Genomic DNA, 17,259 nt, shown 5'->3' with positions numbered 1-17,259 from the left:
GCAAGGGGCAAGAATGGTAAAATCTAATTTTAACAAGAACCCATTGGGTCAGAATGGATCAAGAGACATCTGTCATCTGTCACTTATAGACAAATTGAAATGACATCAAAAGACAGACATGATGGTTTTATGACAATTTGCAACTTCTTTAAAAAAAAAACCCGAGAATTTTGGTAACAGATCAAATCACTAACAAACTGGAGAATTCCTTAGGGATACCCCACTCGACTGCAAACCTCCTCCAGTGAATTAAATTAAATGAATTTAGCAGAGTTTTCTGCACGAGCTGCAAGTCAGGGATGTCATGTGTTTTACTAGATGGAAATTCCAGCTAACTCCACTGTGCTATGATGTCTTATTTGTGGTGTCTCCACACAGGTGCATGCAATTTTCTTTTTTTTTTTTTTTTTGAGACAGAGTTTTACTCTTGCCCAGGCTAGAGTGCAATGGTGCAACCTCAGCTCACTGCAACCTCCGCCTCCCAGCTACAAGTGATTCTCCTGCCTCAGCCTCCCGGGTAGCTGGAATTACAAGCACCTGCCACCACACCTTGCTAATTTTTTTTGTATTTTTGGTAGAGATGGGGTTTCACCATGTTGGCCAGACTTGTCCAAACTCCTGACCTCAAGTGATCCGCCCACCTCAGCCTCCCAAAGTGCTGGAATTACAGGTGTGAGCCACTGCACCTGGCCGCGTGCATTTTTTTAAATGCAAAGTGAGAAGAGTCGATGTTGCATTCTCTGGTTTTCCTCCTACTTTCACTTTTTTTGCCATTCTCTGAACAGCTGGGTCGTAAGGGAGGGTGCAGTGCTCAAGATGCTCTCTCCTTCTTCCAGAGAGAGAGAAGCAGTCATGACCTCCAGGACCTAGGCTGGACCATCAGGTGAGCCCTGATGCTGTCTCCATGGATACAAAGAGTTTCATACAACATCAACCTCAGGCAAGACCACTCTGAGACCAGGATAGATCAAGAAAAAGACAAGACCTTTCTGTAATGATCTCTAAACACAAACAAAATATGCACATTGTATGACTCATGAAAATGACCCACCATCCCATTATCCTGGCTAATGAGAGGGAGCGACCGCTATTTCTTTACCAATTATAGCCTGGTCTTGCTATAGTCTGCTCGACTTTGAGATAAGACAGATGAAGACCCCCCCCATCCGGGAATGAGCCCAGCTTCCTGACAGCACCCAGTCCACAGAGTCCCCACTTTCTTCAATCACCCCCAAAACACCTAACACAAGCTCAGTTCCCCCCGTCCTTCCTAACACCCTCTTGCTGTGAGCTTCACACTCCTCAGGGTGTGCATTCTCCCTGGCTGCGATTTCACCCACCCCGGGATGTCCTGTAGTCTCTGGAGACATGGACACCACCCTCCCCACAGGCAGGCTGGATCATGGCTGGAGCTTCAGTTCTTGTCCCTGGGAAGACAGGTTGCCAATCTTTACCTCTAGCACTAATCTCTCATTTGGATTAGACGCCAATTTTCAAACGCCTGCTGAATATTCCCGGATGCTATGCTGCTGGAAACTCAAATTCAATTTGCCCCAAATGAAACTCATCATCTTTCTACTTCCCTGCAGCTCCCATCACATAATACCACGATGAATGTTTAATCTTTCAGGCTCTAAAAAGAAAAGAGAACTTATAGAAAGTTAAAAGTTGCTAGGTCATATATTAGGAACTCTTTTGATTCTTGACCGGGTGTGAAATGGTACTTGAGTAATATCAAAGAAAAAATTATTCTGACCCTTGTTAAAGACAGGAAGGAAGGCATTTTGAGAAAGGACTTCCCAATGGGGTTTGCAGTAGGGAGAGAGAGCTGGGGATCAACAACAGGTAAAACAAGGACACGTGGACATTTACAGCCACGGAGCAGGGTGGGGTCAGTGGATGGTACATCATGGGGACGGGGATTCTTGCTAGACCGTCTCAGCAGGATTCATGCTGCAAGCAGCCCAGGGTGGTAAGATATCCAGGATGAGTGATGAGAAATCTGATCAGCTATCAAGAGTCGAGAATTTTTGCTAAACTGACCCAGCAGGATTCTTGCTAAAACTGGACTAAGCCGGTCAAGGACAGAGCCCAAGGTCGGGGTCCAGTCCAGAAGAAAGTGCAGACACTGCCTTGGGTTTGGTCAAGAAGACGGTCTCTGTCCATATCTGTAGCTTTATTTATGCTTCACTTTATTATCTTAAGAGTTCCAACAGGAATAACAAAACAGCCAATGTTAAAATTTTAAAAATGTAACATGGTAAAATGATGGTGTTCCTTATATGTGAAGATTGGATCTGGTGGAAAAAGTTGCCCAAAGTAGCTATTTTCTTTCAATCTGGCTCTTTTTAAAATCCTGAGAAATCCTAGCTTTGTCTAATTTATGCTGGTCTCTCCCCACTGCTGGCATTACCTTAACACCAACGTAAATGGAAGAAAGTTGCAATTTACTAAAACATGAGTCAAAATGCCAGCATGAAAGTTTCCTGCCTGCAGACAGAGTCCTCTGCCTCCCAGAGTCAGTGCACTGGCATTGAAGAGGGTCTCTCCTCCCATACTGTCCACAGCTAACACCCGGGTAACAGCCACATGTGCTGATGGCCTTGTGATCCACACCAATAGCTTCTGAGACGATTTTCAGCGGACTCCCTCACCGAGTTTCCTTCTCTTTCATTTTATTTTTTCCTCCTCGGTTTCTGTTTCCATCTCCTCTGTGACCATTGTGTGCTCCAGCCCCAAGATTCTTCTTCAGAGGATCCAGGGCGTGAGGAGCAGGATCCGTCAGTGAAAAACACGAAACAAAACAGAAAGCTCTTCCAGGGTGTGTTGAGGATCAGCAAGACCCAGAAATTCCTTTTTTGTTTTATTTTGTTTTTGAGACGGAGTCTCGCTCTGTCGCCCAGGCTGGAGTGCAGTGGCACGATCTCGGCTCACTGCAGGCTCCGCCTCCCAGGTTCACGCCATTCTCCTGCCTCAGCCTCCCGAGTAGCTGGGACTACAGGCGCCCGCCACCACGCCCGGCTGATTTTTTATACTTTTAGTAGAGACGGGGTTTCACCGTGTTAGCCAGGATGGTCTCGATCTCCTGACCTCGTGACCGCCTGCCTCGGCCTCCCAAAGTGCTGGGATTACAGGCGTGAGCCACCTTGCCCAGCCCAGAAATTATTTATTAACCAAAATTATTTAAGGCCTGGAAATTGCCATTGTGTCAATACAATACATTCTACCTTATTATTTCTTAAAAATATTAAAATAAAATATTACTTTTTATATAAAAAGTTAAAGGCTAAATAAAGCAGTTCATTTTTATATTTTTAGGGACAGAGTCTCACTCCATCACCCATGCTGTAGTGCAGTGGTGTGATCAAGCTTACTGCCGCCTGAAATTCCCAGGCTTAAGAAATGTTCCTGCCTCTGCCTCCTAGTAGCTGGGATTACAGGTGTGCACCACCATGCCTAGCTAATTTTTTATTTTTATTTTTTTTTAGAGATGAGGTGTTGCTATATTGTCTAGGCTACTCTTGAACTGACTTCAAGCAATCCTCCTACATTGCCCTTCCAACGTGCTGAGATGACAGGACAGGAGCCACTGTGCTTGCCCTAAAGCCAACAGTTTCCAAGTGCTCCCCATAAGTGTTATAAGATAAAGTACAATTAGTAATATTGAACAAAATTTCTTTTAAATATATTTTTTTCATAATGAATCCTTTAAAAGCTCTTTCCAAATCCTGTTTCTGTTCCTAGGCGTCATGGCAGCACTTGTGAGTAGATTTGGGGTTTGTGTGTGTGTGTGTGTGTGTGTGTGTGTGTGTGATTTTGGTTTTTATAAATGCATTAACTCTCTCTGGGCACATTTGTTGTTTTCCTGATGGCAGCTGGCTTGCTTCCTCTTCCAATTCCTATGTTCAAGTAGCCAATTAGAAAGGTAGAATTTACTTTCACCAGATTGTAAGGTTATTAAGGGCAAAATTACGCCCATCCCTTTCATTACTACATCCCAGCTGCATTTAATAGTCAACAACGTATGGGTTGACTGCTTGTTAAATGGATGCATAATGAACAAATGGGCAGATTTACATGCCAGTAAGTGGGTCTGAACTTCATGTCAGGAGCGCAGACCTTGCCTGTCTTTTCCTAACCAGAATGAAGTCCTTTGCCCTTTCAGAAGTAAGAAAATGTGCCTAACCCCCTAATAAAAAGCAGGTCTTAATGACATAACTATAATTTGAAAAGCTCATTGATAGCACTCCATAAATATGAGATCACATATCAGTAAGTATTGGGTCACTGGGAACAGGTGTCTGGCCAGCTTGGAAAAAGCCCTGTAACATAAGGAAATTGTCAGTTTCTGAAAACCTGGATTATAGACACATGTCTGTCACTAATTTAATTGTGTGAACATTTACTCTGCCTTTTGACTTTATGGGCCTCAGTTTCCCCATGTGCAAAACACTGTAAGGAGTAGGTTACACCACCTTTAGTATCCTTAGCAATCTAGGGAACCTTTATTATTAGAAAATTTAAATCAAATGGCAGAAGTGATAACATAAATCCAGTTATTTTTTATAGCAGGAAAAAAATGGATGCCTATGGTCACCTATTGAGTTTACATAAAATGTATTTCTCTTTCTTCTGTCACTTTTTCTATTCTCATCCCTGTGTTTCTCTGTTTTTACCTTTTCAGTATCTTACAAACGCCCCTTCTATGAATTGCACTGGCCGTGTGATCCTGCACTAATCTATTCCTGGGATTATTTTCGTTTCTAGACTCTAGACTGGGAAGATCAGACTCTGCACTGCGTTTATTTCTGGACCTCACATCTGTTGTAGTATCTGCCGCATGACAGGAGCTCAGGACAGTCTTTATGACCAGAAGAATGAATGAATAAACATGTGAATGAAGAAGGAGGCTGCCACGGAGAAAACACAAAAGCTTTCCACTACTCAGTATTTTGAAACACGAAAAAACTTCACCATACTTTACATTGTTGTTAAATTGTGGCAAAATATATACAACATAAAAGGTACAGTCTTAACCACCGCTAGATGTACAGTTAAGTGGCATTAAGTGTATTCACACTGTTTTGCAAACATAACCACCATCCGGCTCCATTACTTTTGCATCATCCCAAATTGAAACTCTGTCCCCATTAAACGCTAACTCCCCATTTCCGCCACTGCAGCCCCTGGCAACCATGGGACCTTGAGTTGGTTCCAGCTTTTGGCTATCGTGAATAACGCTGCTATGAACATAGGTGCACAAAAGTCCGTTCCTGACCCTGCTTTCTGTGCTGTTGGGTACCTACCCAGAAGTGGGATGACTGGATCATCCAGTAATTCTACACTGAGTTTTTTAACTGCCCTTTGACACAGAGGCTGCACCGTTTCACATTCCCACCAATAACGCACCCATTTCTCAACATGATTCCAATTTCTCTGAATCCTCACCACCACTTGTTGTTTTGGTGGTGGTGGTTTTTTTTTTTTAAATAGTAGCCAACCTAATTCTATAGCCTAATACGTGAGAAGTAGTATCTATCTCCCAGTAGTTTCAATGTGTAAGTTTCTAATGATTAGTGATACTGAATGTCTTTTCATGTGCTCACTGGCTATTTGTTATAAGTAATATTTTCGATGAGGCCCTTATGGTAGTCAGCCTATAGGCGCTCGAACTTCTTGCTCATACAATTCAGGTTCTGCATTGCTGCTCACCATGGTTTGCAGCTGGCATGCATTTGCATGGTTGACCAGTTGTCAGCCTGGTGCTGGTGGTTTGCATCTATCTCACTGGATTCTTGCCAAATGGAGAGTGGCCACGCTGGCGTCCCCATTGTAGAGATGATGCTGAGATGCACTCATGGACTTCGGCTAGATAGCACCACTAGTTACTGGCCCAGCTGTAGTTCAACCCTGGGTGTCTAACGCTCACATCATCTCTCAGCGTGAATGTGTGTTTACAGCGTTGATAAACCACACAGACACTGACCATGAAGAAAAAGCAAAACCGCTAAATAATTGAATATTCTTTAATATTACACTCATCTTAAGTAAGAAGGAATCCTGAAAAAGAAATACAGATTGCAGGTAAGCCTTTCATCTCAGGGCGATCTGAACATGCTTTCTACCCTAGACACTTTATTTTATGCCTACACACAGCCCCAAAAAGTTATTTAAGTTTTAATACAGATGGTCCTTCAGTTTGATTTATGCTATTAAGTAAAATGCTGTTATGCATAAAGGAGAAAATAAAAGAACTAGTTAAGCACTTTTTTATTAGCCTTCAGGCATGTTCATTAACTATGCCGAGACTGTTTTGCGTAATTTATGCATTTGTGCATGTACATATAGTGCCATATAAAATAGATCATTTACCCAATAAATAGGAGAAGTGTCATCCCTCTCACTCGGCTGAGGAATCTATCAGTTTCTCTTATAAATCTAGGCTGCATTTGCTGTGCATGGGAATGACCTTCCATTAAGACGCATACATCTGGGCTTGGAAAAGGTCGAAGTGCCTTTTTAAGCAGAAAATTACTGAATCAAGATCGTTAGTAGCTCTGAGTAATCTTATTATTCAGCATTCCCCTCCCCGCCTCCCCACACCGTCTTAGAAACTGCATCAGGACTGAAATCAGTTTCCTCGGCGGCTTCATTCCTCACATCTGCTGGTTGTGCAGCCTCCTTGCATTCAGTCGACCTCAAGGACCATAAAAATATTTACACATTTTTACAGATATTTAAACACTCAGTACAAATTTGTCCCATTCAACTAAGGAAACCTCAGATAATTTCCAGAGAAGCCCATCACATGCAGCTTTCTTCGGACATTCAGCAGCCAGTTCTCAGATAGTCTGGATTTGTTTGTGAAGTGGCTCCCTCCCTGATGTTTGTGAGTGAGACTGAGTTAATTCCATTTAGACCGGAGACCGTTGTGTTTAGGGTGTCTCGTGAATTGCGAACTGCACAGGGAGCTGAGCGTGGTATCTCTCCACCTTCCTCCGCCCAGAGCCCTTGGCTATGGCAAGACCCTGCACCAGGCCTCCCAGCTAGGGAAGCAGCAGCTCCGTGTGCTGTGCATGTGGCTTCCTCGCTTCCTGGTGAGCACATCCTCTTATGGGCTTACTCATTTCTGTCTGAGAAAAATAAATAAAATACTAAATAGCATGAGAACAGCGAGACATTCATCTTGTTGTAGACAGTGATCACACAGCCAGGAACTGGGGTGAGCAGGGACCTCATTTCCAGACCCTCGGGATGCCTGGAGGCGGCTGGACAGCACCGAGTTTCTTAGCAAAGTAGCTATTGTTTAAAGAGCAAAAGGGCTACACAGGAAGGCAGCAGGCAGACTGGAAGAGCAGTGTCCACTTCACACATATCCCTGACACGCAGTGACCTTCCCGAAAATGGGCTCCGTGTATCGTCAGGTCTGGTGAGATGAGGTGTCACCAGGTGTTCCAAATCAAAAATGCATTTGTGCTGGGAATGGGGGAGCTTTCTAAAGTCAGATGCATCTGTGACATGGTGGAGGTTAATGGTGTTGAACAGAGCTCTTCAAGAAAACTTGTCCCACCCCACACGTAACCCTGGCCACACACAGCCACTGAGCCAGGGTGTCTTGTGAATCATACGGGTTCGGATTAAGATGCTCATAAGGCCAGGGTCAGTGGCTCATACCTGTAATCTCAGCTCTTTGGGTGGCCAAGGCCAGCCTGAGCAACAGACTGAAAGCTCATCTCTACAAAAAAATTGCTTTAAAAAAAGATGCTCATTAAATGCAAAAACGGACACTGGATTTCTTAGTCTTGATGTGAAAAAAGGAGTCAAAAATGCCTCATTGATGTGTTCCTACTGGTTACATAGTAAAGTGATAAGATTTTGAATGCACTGGGTTAAATACACCATTAAAATTGATTTTATCTGTTCCCTTTTTACTTTTATCAGTGTCGTTATGAGGAGATTTTAGTGGTACTTGTGATTTACCTTGTGTTTCTATTGGCCAGTGCTCAGACAGGACTTCTCACAATCTTTAATATGCCAAATTGCCTTGTGTGTCCCTAAGAGATGATGTAGCAGTCAGCATTTCCAAACTAACTTGACCCCTACACTCTATCTTATAGAACATTTGTCAATCTCCCTGACACAACAACTTTCCACAGTAAATGGTTTCAGAAACCTGTCATACCAACACTTGCATGTGAGGCTGGGTCCAATTCAGACTCAGCTACCTGCCACTTTCCATCTTCTGACAAATCCACAACAATTTTCTATGCATTTGCCTTATTTGTTAACTGAAATTATCAGATACAGCCGAGAGACCAGCACTATTGGTGATACATTTTTTAATGCTCAATTCATTCATCTTATAATCTGTCAAACAATTAATATTCTTTCAATATTAAACATCAATATTTCTAAATATTTACACATTTTTACAGATATTTAAACACTCAGTACAAATTTGTCCCATTCAACTAAAATATTATTAAAACCCATTGTTATATCTGTCCATTAGACACAATTATTTTAAATGTTTCGATCATCTTTAAAAGTGTACAGAAAAAGGTCAGATGAGGTGGCTCATGCCTCTAATCCCAGCACTTTGGGAGGCCAAGGTGGGTGGATCACCTGAGGTCAGGAGTTCAAGACCAGCCTGACCAACACTTGGTGAAACCCCATCTCTACTAAAAAGACAAAAAATTAGCTGGGTGTGGTGGTGGGCGCTTGTAATCCCAGCTCCTTGGGGGGCTGAGGCAGGAGAATTGCTTGAACCCAGTAGGCGGAGGTTGCAGTGAGCTGAGATCGCACCACTGCACTCCAGCCTGGACTCCATGCTGAGTGACAGAGACTCTGTGCTTGCCACCCTCCACCCCCACCCGCCGCCCCACCCCCGCCAAAAAAAAAAGTTACAGAAAAAATATTCGACTATGAAGTGAATTACAAGAGTCGTTGTTAGAAATATGCCGCTCAGCTGGTTTCAAAAGTACTCACATTTCAACTCAACCTCAGTTAGGAGGTGGATTTTTGCATGTGTTGGATAATTAAGTCCTGAGTTTGGTTGAACTTGGAAAGTATATCAGAAAAGTAGAATGAGCAAAGACCCAAAAGGAAAGAAAAGCCACAGCCACATTTGGGAAACCCAGCCACAGGTGGAGGACTGGGGAATGCCATGGCCTCCTGTACAGCAGGAGATGTGGGCAGGTGTCCTGTCTTCAAGGCTACCCTGGAAGACCTGGGGCCTCAAAGCAGCACTTTTGTGGGCTCACACCTGAACACTTCAGCAGAAAGACGCAAAGGAAAGATGTGTATGTAGTTCTCTCAGAAATTTTTTTAAAATGGTACCATAAAATCAATCTTTTAAAAATGTGTGTGTATGTTTTTAGCCAAAAAGCTCTAAGCCAAGTGTGTCCAACCCGCAGCCTGTGGGCTGTATATAAGCCAGGATGGTTTTGAAAGTGTACCAGCAAAAATTGGTACACTTTCTTAAAATATTATAAGATTCTTTGCAATTTTTTTTAGCGTTATCAACTATTGTTAATGTTTGCATATTTTATGTGTGGCCCGAGACAATTCTTCTGCTTCCAGTGTGGCCCAGGGAAGCCAGAAGATTGGACACCGCTGCTCTAAATATTTACTTGGACATCCACTGACAAACTAACATATTGATGAGTTAAGTTCAAATGACTCTGGAATTTATGGATTACCTTTCATTTTAAACATACACAGTTTTCAGCCTCAGAAGCAAAAAGGCAAACCAAATGCTTTGTTTGAATTTTCCTGATCCTGAGGTATTTCGAAAGGAATTTACTTCCACTTTCTGCTACATTCAGTAATCCCCACCTAAGCTCTGCTTGAGTAAATCATTCTGAGAATGACTCTTCCTGAACATGGATATGTTTTCTTCCAAAATACAAGGACATCTTCACAAAGCCAACTGGAGCAATTATAACCGAAAGGTGTCACCTATCTCTTTAGTTCATTGGGGATCGTTAAGTCGGCCCTAGCAGAGGCCTGCAGGACTTATGACCTGGCTGGGGCTGCTACTGCTTCCGGGTCAGCTTTTATCCAACTCCGACATCTTTGCAAAGTCTCTTATCAGTCACTGAGATTAAAAAGCTGGTGTCTTGGCGGCACAGCCAGATTCAAATGTGGTCCCTTCTCTTACTGGTCACAGGGCTTTGACCAAGTCGGCCACCTGAGTGCCTTAGTTTCTTTATCTGAAAAGGCGTGATGCCCATCTGAATTTGAATTTCAGATGAAGGGTGGATGGTGACTTCAGCAGAAGTGCGTGCTGTGCAACGTCTGTATTTTCATTTGCTAACTCTGCCACCCTAAGCTAGAGCCCATGCTTCTCAAAACCAGATTCCAGGGGCCAGGGAGTCCCAGAAGCCACAGTCTCATCCCGAGTCAGCACAATGTTCTCCCCTGCAAGTACAGCCCACGTAATCCGGAGCGCTTAAAGCAAAGTGAAGACAGGAGCTCCTTGTTCAAAAAGCATTAGATACGGGAAGCGGAACATGACTCCAAGCCCAGGACCCTGTACCGAGGCCAGGTCCCTGCCTGAAGCCGGCTGTGCTCCACGCTGCCTCCTGCTCAGCGGTGGAAAAGTTTGAGAGACTCTGGAGTATTTTATCTCCAGTGTCCTTGGAAATAAATGATTATTTAGGGCTTCTTTGGTGGCCCAGTGATTTTTCTACACTGGCTCCACACCTTTGTCCTTAGAATTCAGTGTTATTCCTTTATGTTCCTGAGCTATGGAAATTAGAATGATAATGAAAACAGCTCTGGTTTACTGAGCACTTACTGTCAACGATTGACTCTGCTAGGACTTCCTTGTAAGTGGGTTTAATCTCTACACGATGCCAGTGAAGTAGACATTATTGAGACGGCCCCCAGCACACACACAGACACCTGTGAGACACAAAACCCAGGAGAGGGAGTCACTGACTCCCTCCATGAGCAGCTGATAGCCCCTCAGCGATAGTTCAGGGGACTTAGACCCAGTTCATCTTAGGTCCAAACCCTGTGTTTTATCTCACTCAGCTGTGCTGTCGAGAAAAGCTGATTGAGGAGCAACTGTCTTAGCCTCAATTCCCTGTCCTGTCACTTTTTAAAATAATATAGGAACTAACCTTAGAAAATGTTTTATCAATGAGCAAATTAAGGACTGGCACCGCGGCCCCCCTAGGGAAGATAAGATGCAGAGTCGACCTCGGTCCAGGCATCTGCAAAGACTGTGTGGTCCCCGGGACCGCCCTCCTCAAATCTGGGTCCCCAGCAGTGCAGGCCTGTCTTGCACAATTCTAGAATCGTCCTTCTTCCGACTTAGCATGCATCTGTTCTTGTGTTTCTACTGCCCTTGTTAAAATACATGCAGCTTTGTTACGTGCATAATTCTTTCCATTTTCTAAGCTGGGAAGATCTCTGATAAGCATTCCTTTTAATTATTCATTAACATTTTCTGCCTTTGCTTATCAAAAAGTGGTGGTAAGCTTAAGAATTCTGATTTTTTTTTTTTTTTTTACTGAAGCAGATCAGTGGCCCTGACTTCCCAACCTCTTCCTGCATTTTAGCTGCCTGTGAAGTCCAGTGACTGGGGCTCTCAAGGGACCTACTCCCGACCCCGGAGTCACACTGGAGGTGAATCTGGGACCTGGCACAGCTTCCCAAACTTCGCATCTATGAAGAGATTTTGGTTGGGCATGGCAGCTCACACCTGTAATCACAGTGAGACCCCATCCCTGTCATAAAATCAAACAAAAACAGAGGTTCTATAGCTATGTTGGCAAAAGTCTCCATGTTCTGATGGCCAAATAAATTAACGTGGGGCCAATTTGATTTTTATGAAGTAACAAGATCCTTTTAGAAAAGGAAGAATTGAGGAGGGGGAGGGGGGAAAAGAAAAAAAAACAGAAAAGGAAGAATTTTTAACCCAAATTAGGTTGATTTGAGCTGACATGTTAACTGGCTCATTTTGCTATAACACATTATTTGTGTAGGACGGGCATTTTCACTACACAGCTCTGTGTGCAAAGAAGGAATTTTGGTAAACAGAGACCGTTTCTGATCAGTGCCTAAGTCTATCCTTTATCCAGAGAGCAATGTAGGTCTACCCTCTTCCTTACAAAATTAAACTGTATAATAAGTCTTGTTCTTAACCACATTGCCGCACATTACGTCTCCACCGGAGCTGGTGTTTGTACCAAGACACAGTACACACCCACTTCAGTGACAGAATCTCAGGTCTGCTCTGAAGGCCTTCTCATTCAGACTGACAGACACGCCATGTGCCGTTTCCCTACTGACCAAAGTAAGGGTTTGTATTTTTTATTTTTATCTCCAGGACTGTCCGCTAGTAATGTAGTTGCTCCAATGACAGGCACTACCTAAAATGATAACCACATGGCAGAACACCTCATTCAGGATGGCCAAGTCATGAACGTACGGGTTTTGTGGCTGAATTTTTCTCACTTATTAGATATATATAACGTTCTTTCTTATATATGTTGAAAGAGTACCCTGTTATCTTGACAAGATCTCTATAAAGCAAGAAGTTAGAAGAGAGAGGGGAGGCTGGGCACAGTGGCTCACACCTGTAATCCCAGCACTTTGGGAGGCCGAGGTGGGTGGATGACTTGAGGTCAGAAGTTCGAGACCAGCCTGGCCAACATGGTGAAACCCCATGTCTACTAAAATTACAAAAAGTAACCAGATGTGGTAGCTCACATCTGTAATGCCAGCTACTCAGGAAGCTGAGGCACCAGAATCACTTGAACTCAGGAGGCGGAGATTACAGTGAGCTGAGATCGTGCCACTGCATGCCAGCCTAAGCAACAGAGTGAAACTCCATCTTAAAAAAAAAAAAAAAAAACGGGGAAACCATGGCCGAGAATGAAATGATGCTGCCTGGGGCTGCTTTTTACCAGAGTTTTCTCACTGTCAACTTAGGAATTAACTTCCAGATTTCAGGAAATAAACAGAGGCCAAAATTAAAACAGACTAAGACCTGTTAGGGAAGGAGGGAGACGCTGGAAAGGTGTGGAGCTGGAGCCTCTTGTGTCTGCGGAGAAGTGGATGAAGCCACCTGACTGCAGCTTCCGGGAAGAAGCTGAACGCCAGGCAGGCATGGAGAGATGAGTGTGGGAGTCAGACAGACGGACCCAGCCACCCACCTTGCAGGAGTTAAACAATGACTGGGGCTCAGAGAACAAAGCCCAAACCTGGTGCTCAGACCACGAGAACGAAGCCCAAACCCGGTGCTTTGACGTGGGTCTCTCTGCCCTCCCACCAGCTCCTGCCTCTCAGGCCTGTCTCTCCCTATGCACAGGACGAGGCCGTTCTCTGAAGCTTCCTTATCTACCTAGATACTAGACCCCCAAAGGGGAACACAATTGCCTTCAGTCCTTTCCCAGAAATTTAATTAACCAGAGAAGATTAACTCTCATGCGACAGAGGAAGAGACTGAAAATTAAGCACCACACCTGGAGCTCAGCTCAACTTTCTTCCAAACCATTGTTCATCATCTGGGCCCATTCAGTCTCCAAAGAGAATCCTCCAGTGTCTGAGCACTGGGTCCAGCCATTCCTTCTAAAAACTGCTTACGACCCCTCAAAAATTATCACAGTTTCCCCCATCTTCTCTTCCCCTATACTGTATCCCAAGAGTATAGAAGTGTGTAGACCTGGCTGGATTATTGGGTAATCATTCTCCTGGGATTCCTCTGTGCTTAGGCACATTAAGTAAACTTGTATGCTCTTCCTCCTGTTAATCTGCCTATTGTTAGTTCATTTTCAGTGAACCTTTAGAGCTCAGAAGGGGAGCTTCCCCTTGGCTCCTGGAAAACCCTCAGGTCTTTTTCCCCATTTATGGATAGGAACAAAAATAGTCCCCTCTCTTAGAGCCTGGCTGCAAACATTAAATGGGTCATTGTGTGTAAAGCGCACTGTATGCTTCTCTGCACCGAGAAAGTGCTGAGTAAAGTTCCGGGTCTCCCCACAGCCCCCTCTACTGCCTCCCTTCACCTTAAGCAGCACAGCTGGTGGGTGCTGCGCTTCCGGTATTCCAGAAGAAACTCTCTCCAATGAATCAACAGAAACGAATGTCTCTTTTGGACGTAGAGACATATTAAGAATTTAAAAACACACATCTTTGCCTGCCTTCCTGAAGGAAGATTGTAGACTCAAGATCTGAGACAGGACAAGGGAGGAGTCAAGGGTAGGAGGGTTTCATGAGGCGGTGCTAAATACCGAGGGACAAGGTGTATATGAAATAGGACTAAAAATAGTCTATAAAGCCAACGCCACAGGAAAGAGAAAACCAGTGAGTGAGAGCGTTGATTGTGCATTGCTAAATTTACAGGAACAAATGGTGCATGAGCGATTATCTGCGCTGGAACGTGGAAATGACGTCTCCAGGGAGAAGGAATGTATGGGGATTGAGGTCATCTAAGAAGGGCTTCCCTTAGCCGGGCGGGGTGGCGGCACCTGTAGTCCCAGCTACTCAGGAGGCTGAGGCAGGAGAATGGCGTGAACCTGGGAGCTTGCAGTGAGCCGAGATCGCGCCACTGCATTCCAGCCTGGGCGACAGAGCCAGACTCCTTCTCAATAATAAAAATAAAAATAAAAAATAAAAAATGAAATAAAAGAAAAGAAAAGAAGGGCTTCCCTTGGCGTAGCTGTAGCTTCCAGGCGGGAGCCAGCTGGATAGGGTTTGTCCATGTTTTGCTGTCCCGCCGCGTTAAGATTGCGGGACCCACCTGTGAAGGAGAAGAACTGAGACCAGAAAACGATACCATGGGATGGAGGAGCTGGGTTAGGACGCAAAAAGAAGGTCGACGCCGGCTCCAGAAGGGACCTAACCTGGAGAAAACCGGAGAGCTGGCGCTGAAGGGTCGGGAGAGGCCTGCTGGGCCGCGCTGGAGAGGGAGACCTGCTGGCTTCCCGTTGAATTCGGTGACACTCTCACACAGACCGTTCATTCTCCCGACTAGCCCGGTTTCCCAAGAAAGAGCAGGCAAGAGGGAAGTTCAGAGCTGCGTGCTAAACTCTCTCTTACGTCATGAAGAGCTCAAATACGTGGGAAGAGGGACATCATACCCCATACAGAAGGGCAAAAATACTCATTCGAAATAGAATGATTCTAGTATTTATCAAAATGAAAATGCATCTTTTTTTTTTTTTTTTTGCAAGTACCAGCTATAGCTCCATTTTTTATGTTTTGAAAATGAGAGCCCTCCAGGGGTTAGGCCTCTGATGGGACCCGCCCCTCTGTGTGGTGTAGGGCATGGGGGGCTTCTGTTACCCATGGCTTCTTCCACAACTTCTGACCCAGTGGTGCTGCGTCGGTTCCTGACGGTCGTGCTGTGTGCTGTCATTATTCTCATCTGTGCCCTTCAGTGCCCTCTCCAGCCACGACGCCCATTTCCCAGCCCTGGCAACGCCAACCGTGCTCTGCAATTGTAGGTGTCATTCAGCTCCATCCACACCGGGGGGATCGCAGTTTCCATAGCAACTAATGTATTTCAACCAGGGGGAAATGGAAGGTTCTCAACTATAAATAGAGTGAAAATTGAAGAAAATGAGGAGCAAAAACCAGACGCAGGTGACGGGCTATGCCTGTGGGAGAGAGAGGATTCGTATTTAGCACAAGGGCCACTGTTCAGGGCAGCACGCGGCCTTGTCCTGGTGCGGTTGTCAAATCCAGGTCAGCCTCATGCAGTCCTATTCCCGTTCATCGAGTGCATGCAAGTGCTCAGCTGCATCCAGAGAACAGCCTTCTCTCCAGATATACAGATATATTATTTTTCACTAGATTAAGACAATAATTACAAAAGACTGCCACACTTTAATAATGGTATATGCAAATTACCAGGGATAATACAACTTAGGACTGAAATAAATGTCCTGCTAAATGACCCATTGTTGGTTAAGAAAAAGACAAAAAAGGAACACGAAGGGCTCTATGATTAGTAGGCGGCAGGCTGCCGTGGGTGTCCCGTAGGGTGTGACCTGAAGCAAAGTTGCTTAAGCACATGAAACTGACCTCACAGCAGAGCAAGCAGAAACAGCCCAGCATCTAAATGACTCACTGGGGCAGCCGCAGCACCGTTTTCTTTACAACTGCCTTTATGCATACTGTCTGCCCTGGAGGAGGGAATAACTGCAATTCACATCATCGATTATTCAGACAAATCACAGAATCACAGATTTGGTGGAGGCCTTGAATGATCACCTAGTTCTCTCTCCCGCTCCAGGCAGAATTGTATTGGAATCTCCGAGACAGACTGGTTTCCGTCATCATCAATTATCTCTCCTAACAAACACTTCCAAAGATTCCGCACCCTCCTAGTTCCTCAGAAGCTGTTTAGTATGCTCTCGCTTTTAAGGATTTTAATCCAGATACCTATTGTGTGTTAAACATAATCCCAGCCTCCTCAGTGAATTATTTACCAAAATCTTGTGGTCACCTTTTCTATTACGTTTTAACTCAGCTCTTGTTATTTTATTCTCAGAAATATGGATAGTAGGTGTTCATTGTTTTTTGCCTATCACTTCACATATTTGCAACTATTACTGAATCTCCCAGGGTTCACAGAAACATGATTTTATGACAAATAAAAATATTCACAACAGGAAGTTAACTGAAAAATATAAGCTCATATTTCTGGGGAAAACAGCAATAAAGGAGAAAACAATGCAGTTAAATAATTATATCCTGGCATAGAAAGAGAAGACTGGAAGTTTTACACTCAAACATGAAGAGTTGCTATCTCTGAATGCTTGAAGGAAGGGTTCAGGGTATTCTATTGGTCTTTTCCAATGTCTTAAAAACTGTCAACCTACTTTGGAATAATAGCATCATTGTCATAATACTAAAAAGTAGCTTAATAAAACAGAATAGAGAGACTTATTGAGGTCAAAGACTGGGCGAGCATCAGAGCCTGGGTTCAAATGCAGGTGGTCTGATCCCAAATCATGGGGTACCTGGCCTAGTGAGTCCTGTCAGGCCCACATGCTCCAGCCCAGGGAGCCAGGAGAGTGGCTTAACTTCTCTCCCTGAACAAGGGAGGCTTTCCAGTGAGCCTTTCTCCATTGCCAGACTCCCCACTGGAATAAAAATGTGCAGCCTAAATGACCACAGAGCTCAACAGAGGTTAATATACGAAGATCTCATTTTAGCCAACAGGATCACATCTGGCCATCTGTAGGGCTATGGTTAAGGTTGTATTTGAAGAGGGAGAGGATGGGTAATCATGGCTACAGC

At 44.3% G+C, this 17,259-nt stretch overlaps 1 long non-coding RNA gene across 1 annotated transcript in view, besides 1 other annotated feature; it reads right to left on the bottom strand.

Moving 5' to 3' along the window:
- The window catches only part of LOC105376360 (uncharacterized), a 432,070-nt gene that overhangs the window by 403,847 nt on the left and 10,964 nt on the right, over positions 1-17,259 (bottom strand). The gene's annotated exons all lie outside the window — the stretch shown is intronic.
- Positions 15,018-15,517: an enhancer, noted in NCBI's record as "H3K4me1 hESC enhancer chr10:3373593-3374092 (GRCh37/hg19 assembly coordinates)". NCBI's record gives its function as "activates a minimal SCP1, AML or CMV promoter by ChIP-STARR-seq in naive H9 embryonic stem cells {active_cell/tissue: H9 hESC(naive)}" and the evidence as "EXISTENCE:reporter gene assay evidence [ECO:0000049][PMID:30033119]".

The sequence above is a fragment of the Homo sapiens genome, chromosome 10 (genome assembly GCF_000001405.40).
Source record: "Homo sapiens chromosome 10, GRCh38.p14 Primary Assembly".
Classification (NCBI taxonomy): domain Eukaryota; kingdom Metazoa; phylum Chordata; class Mammalia; order Primates; family Hominidae; genus Homo; species Homo sapiens.
This window is presented reverse-complemented; position numbering and strand designations above follow the sequence as displayed.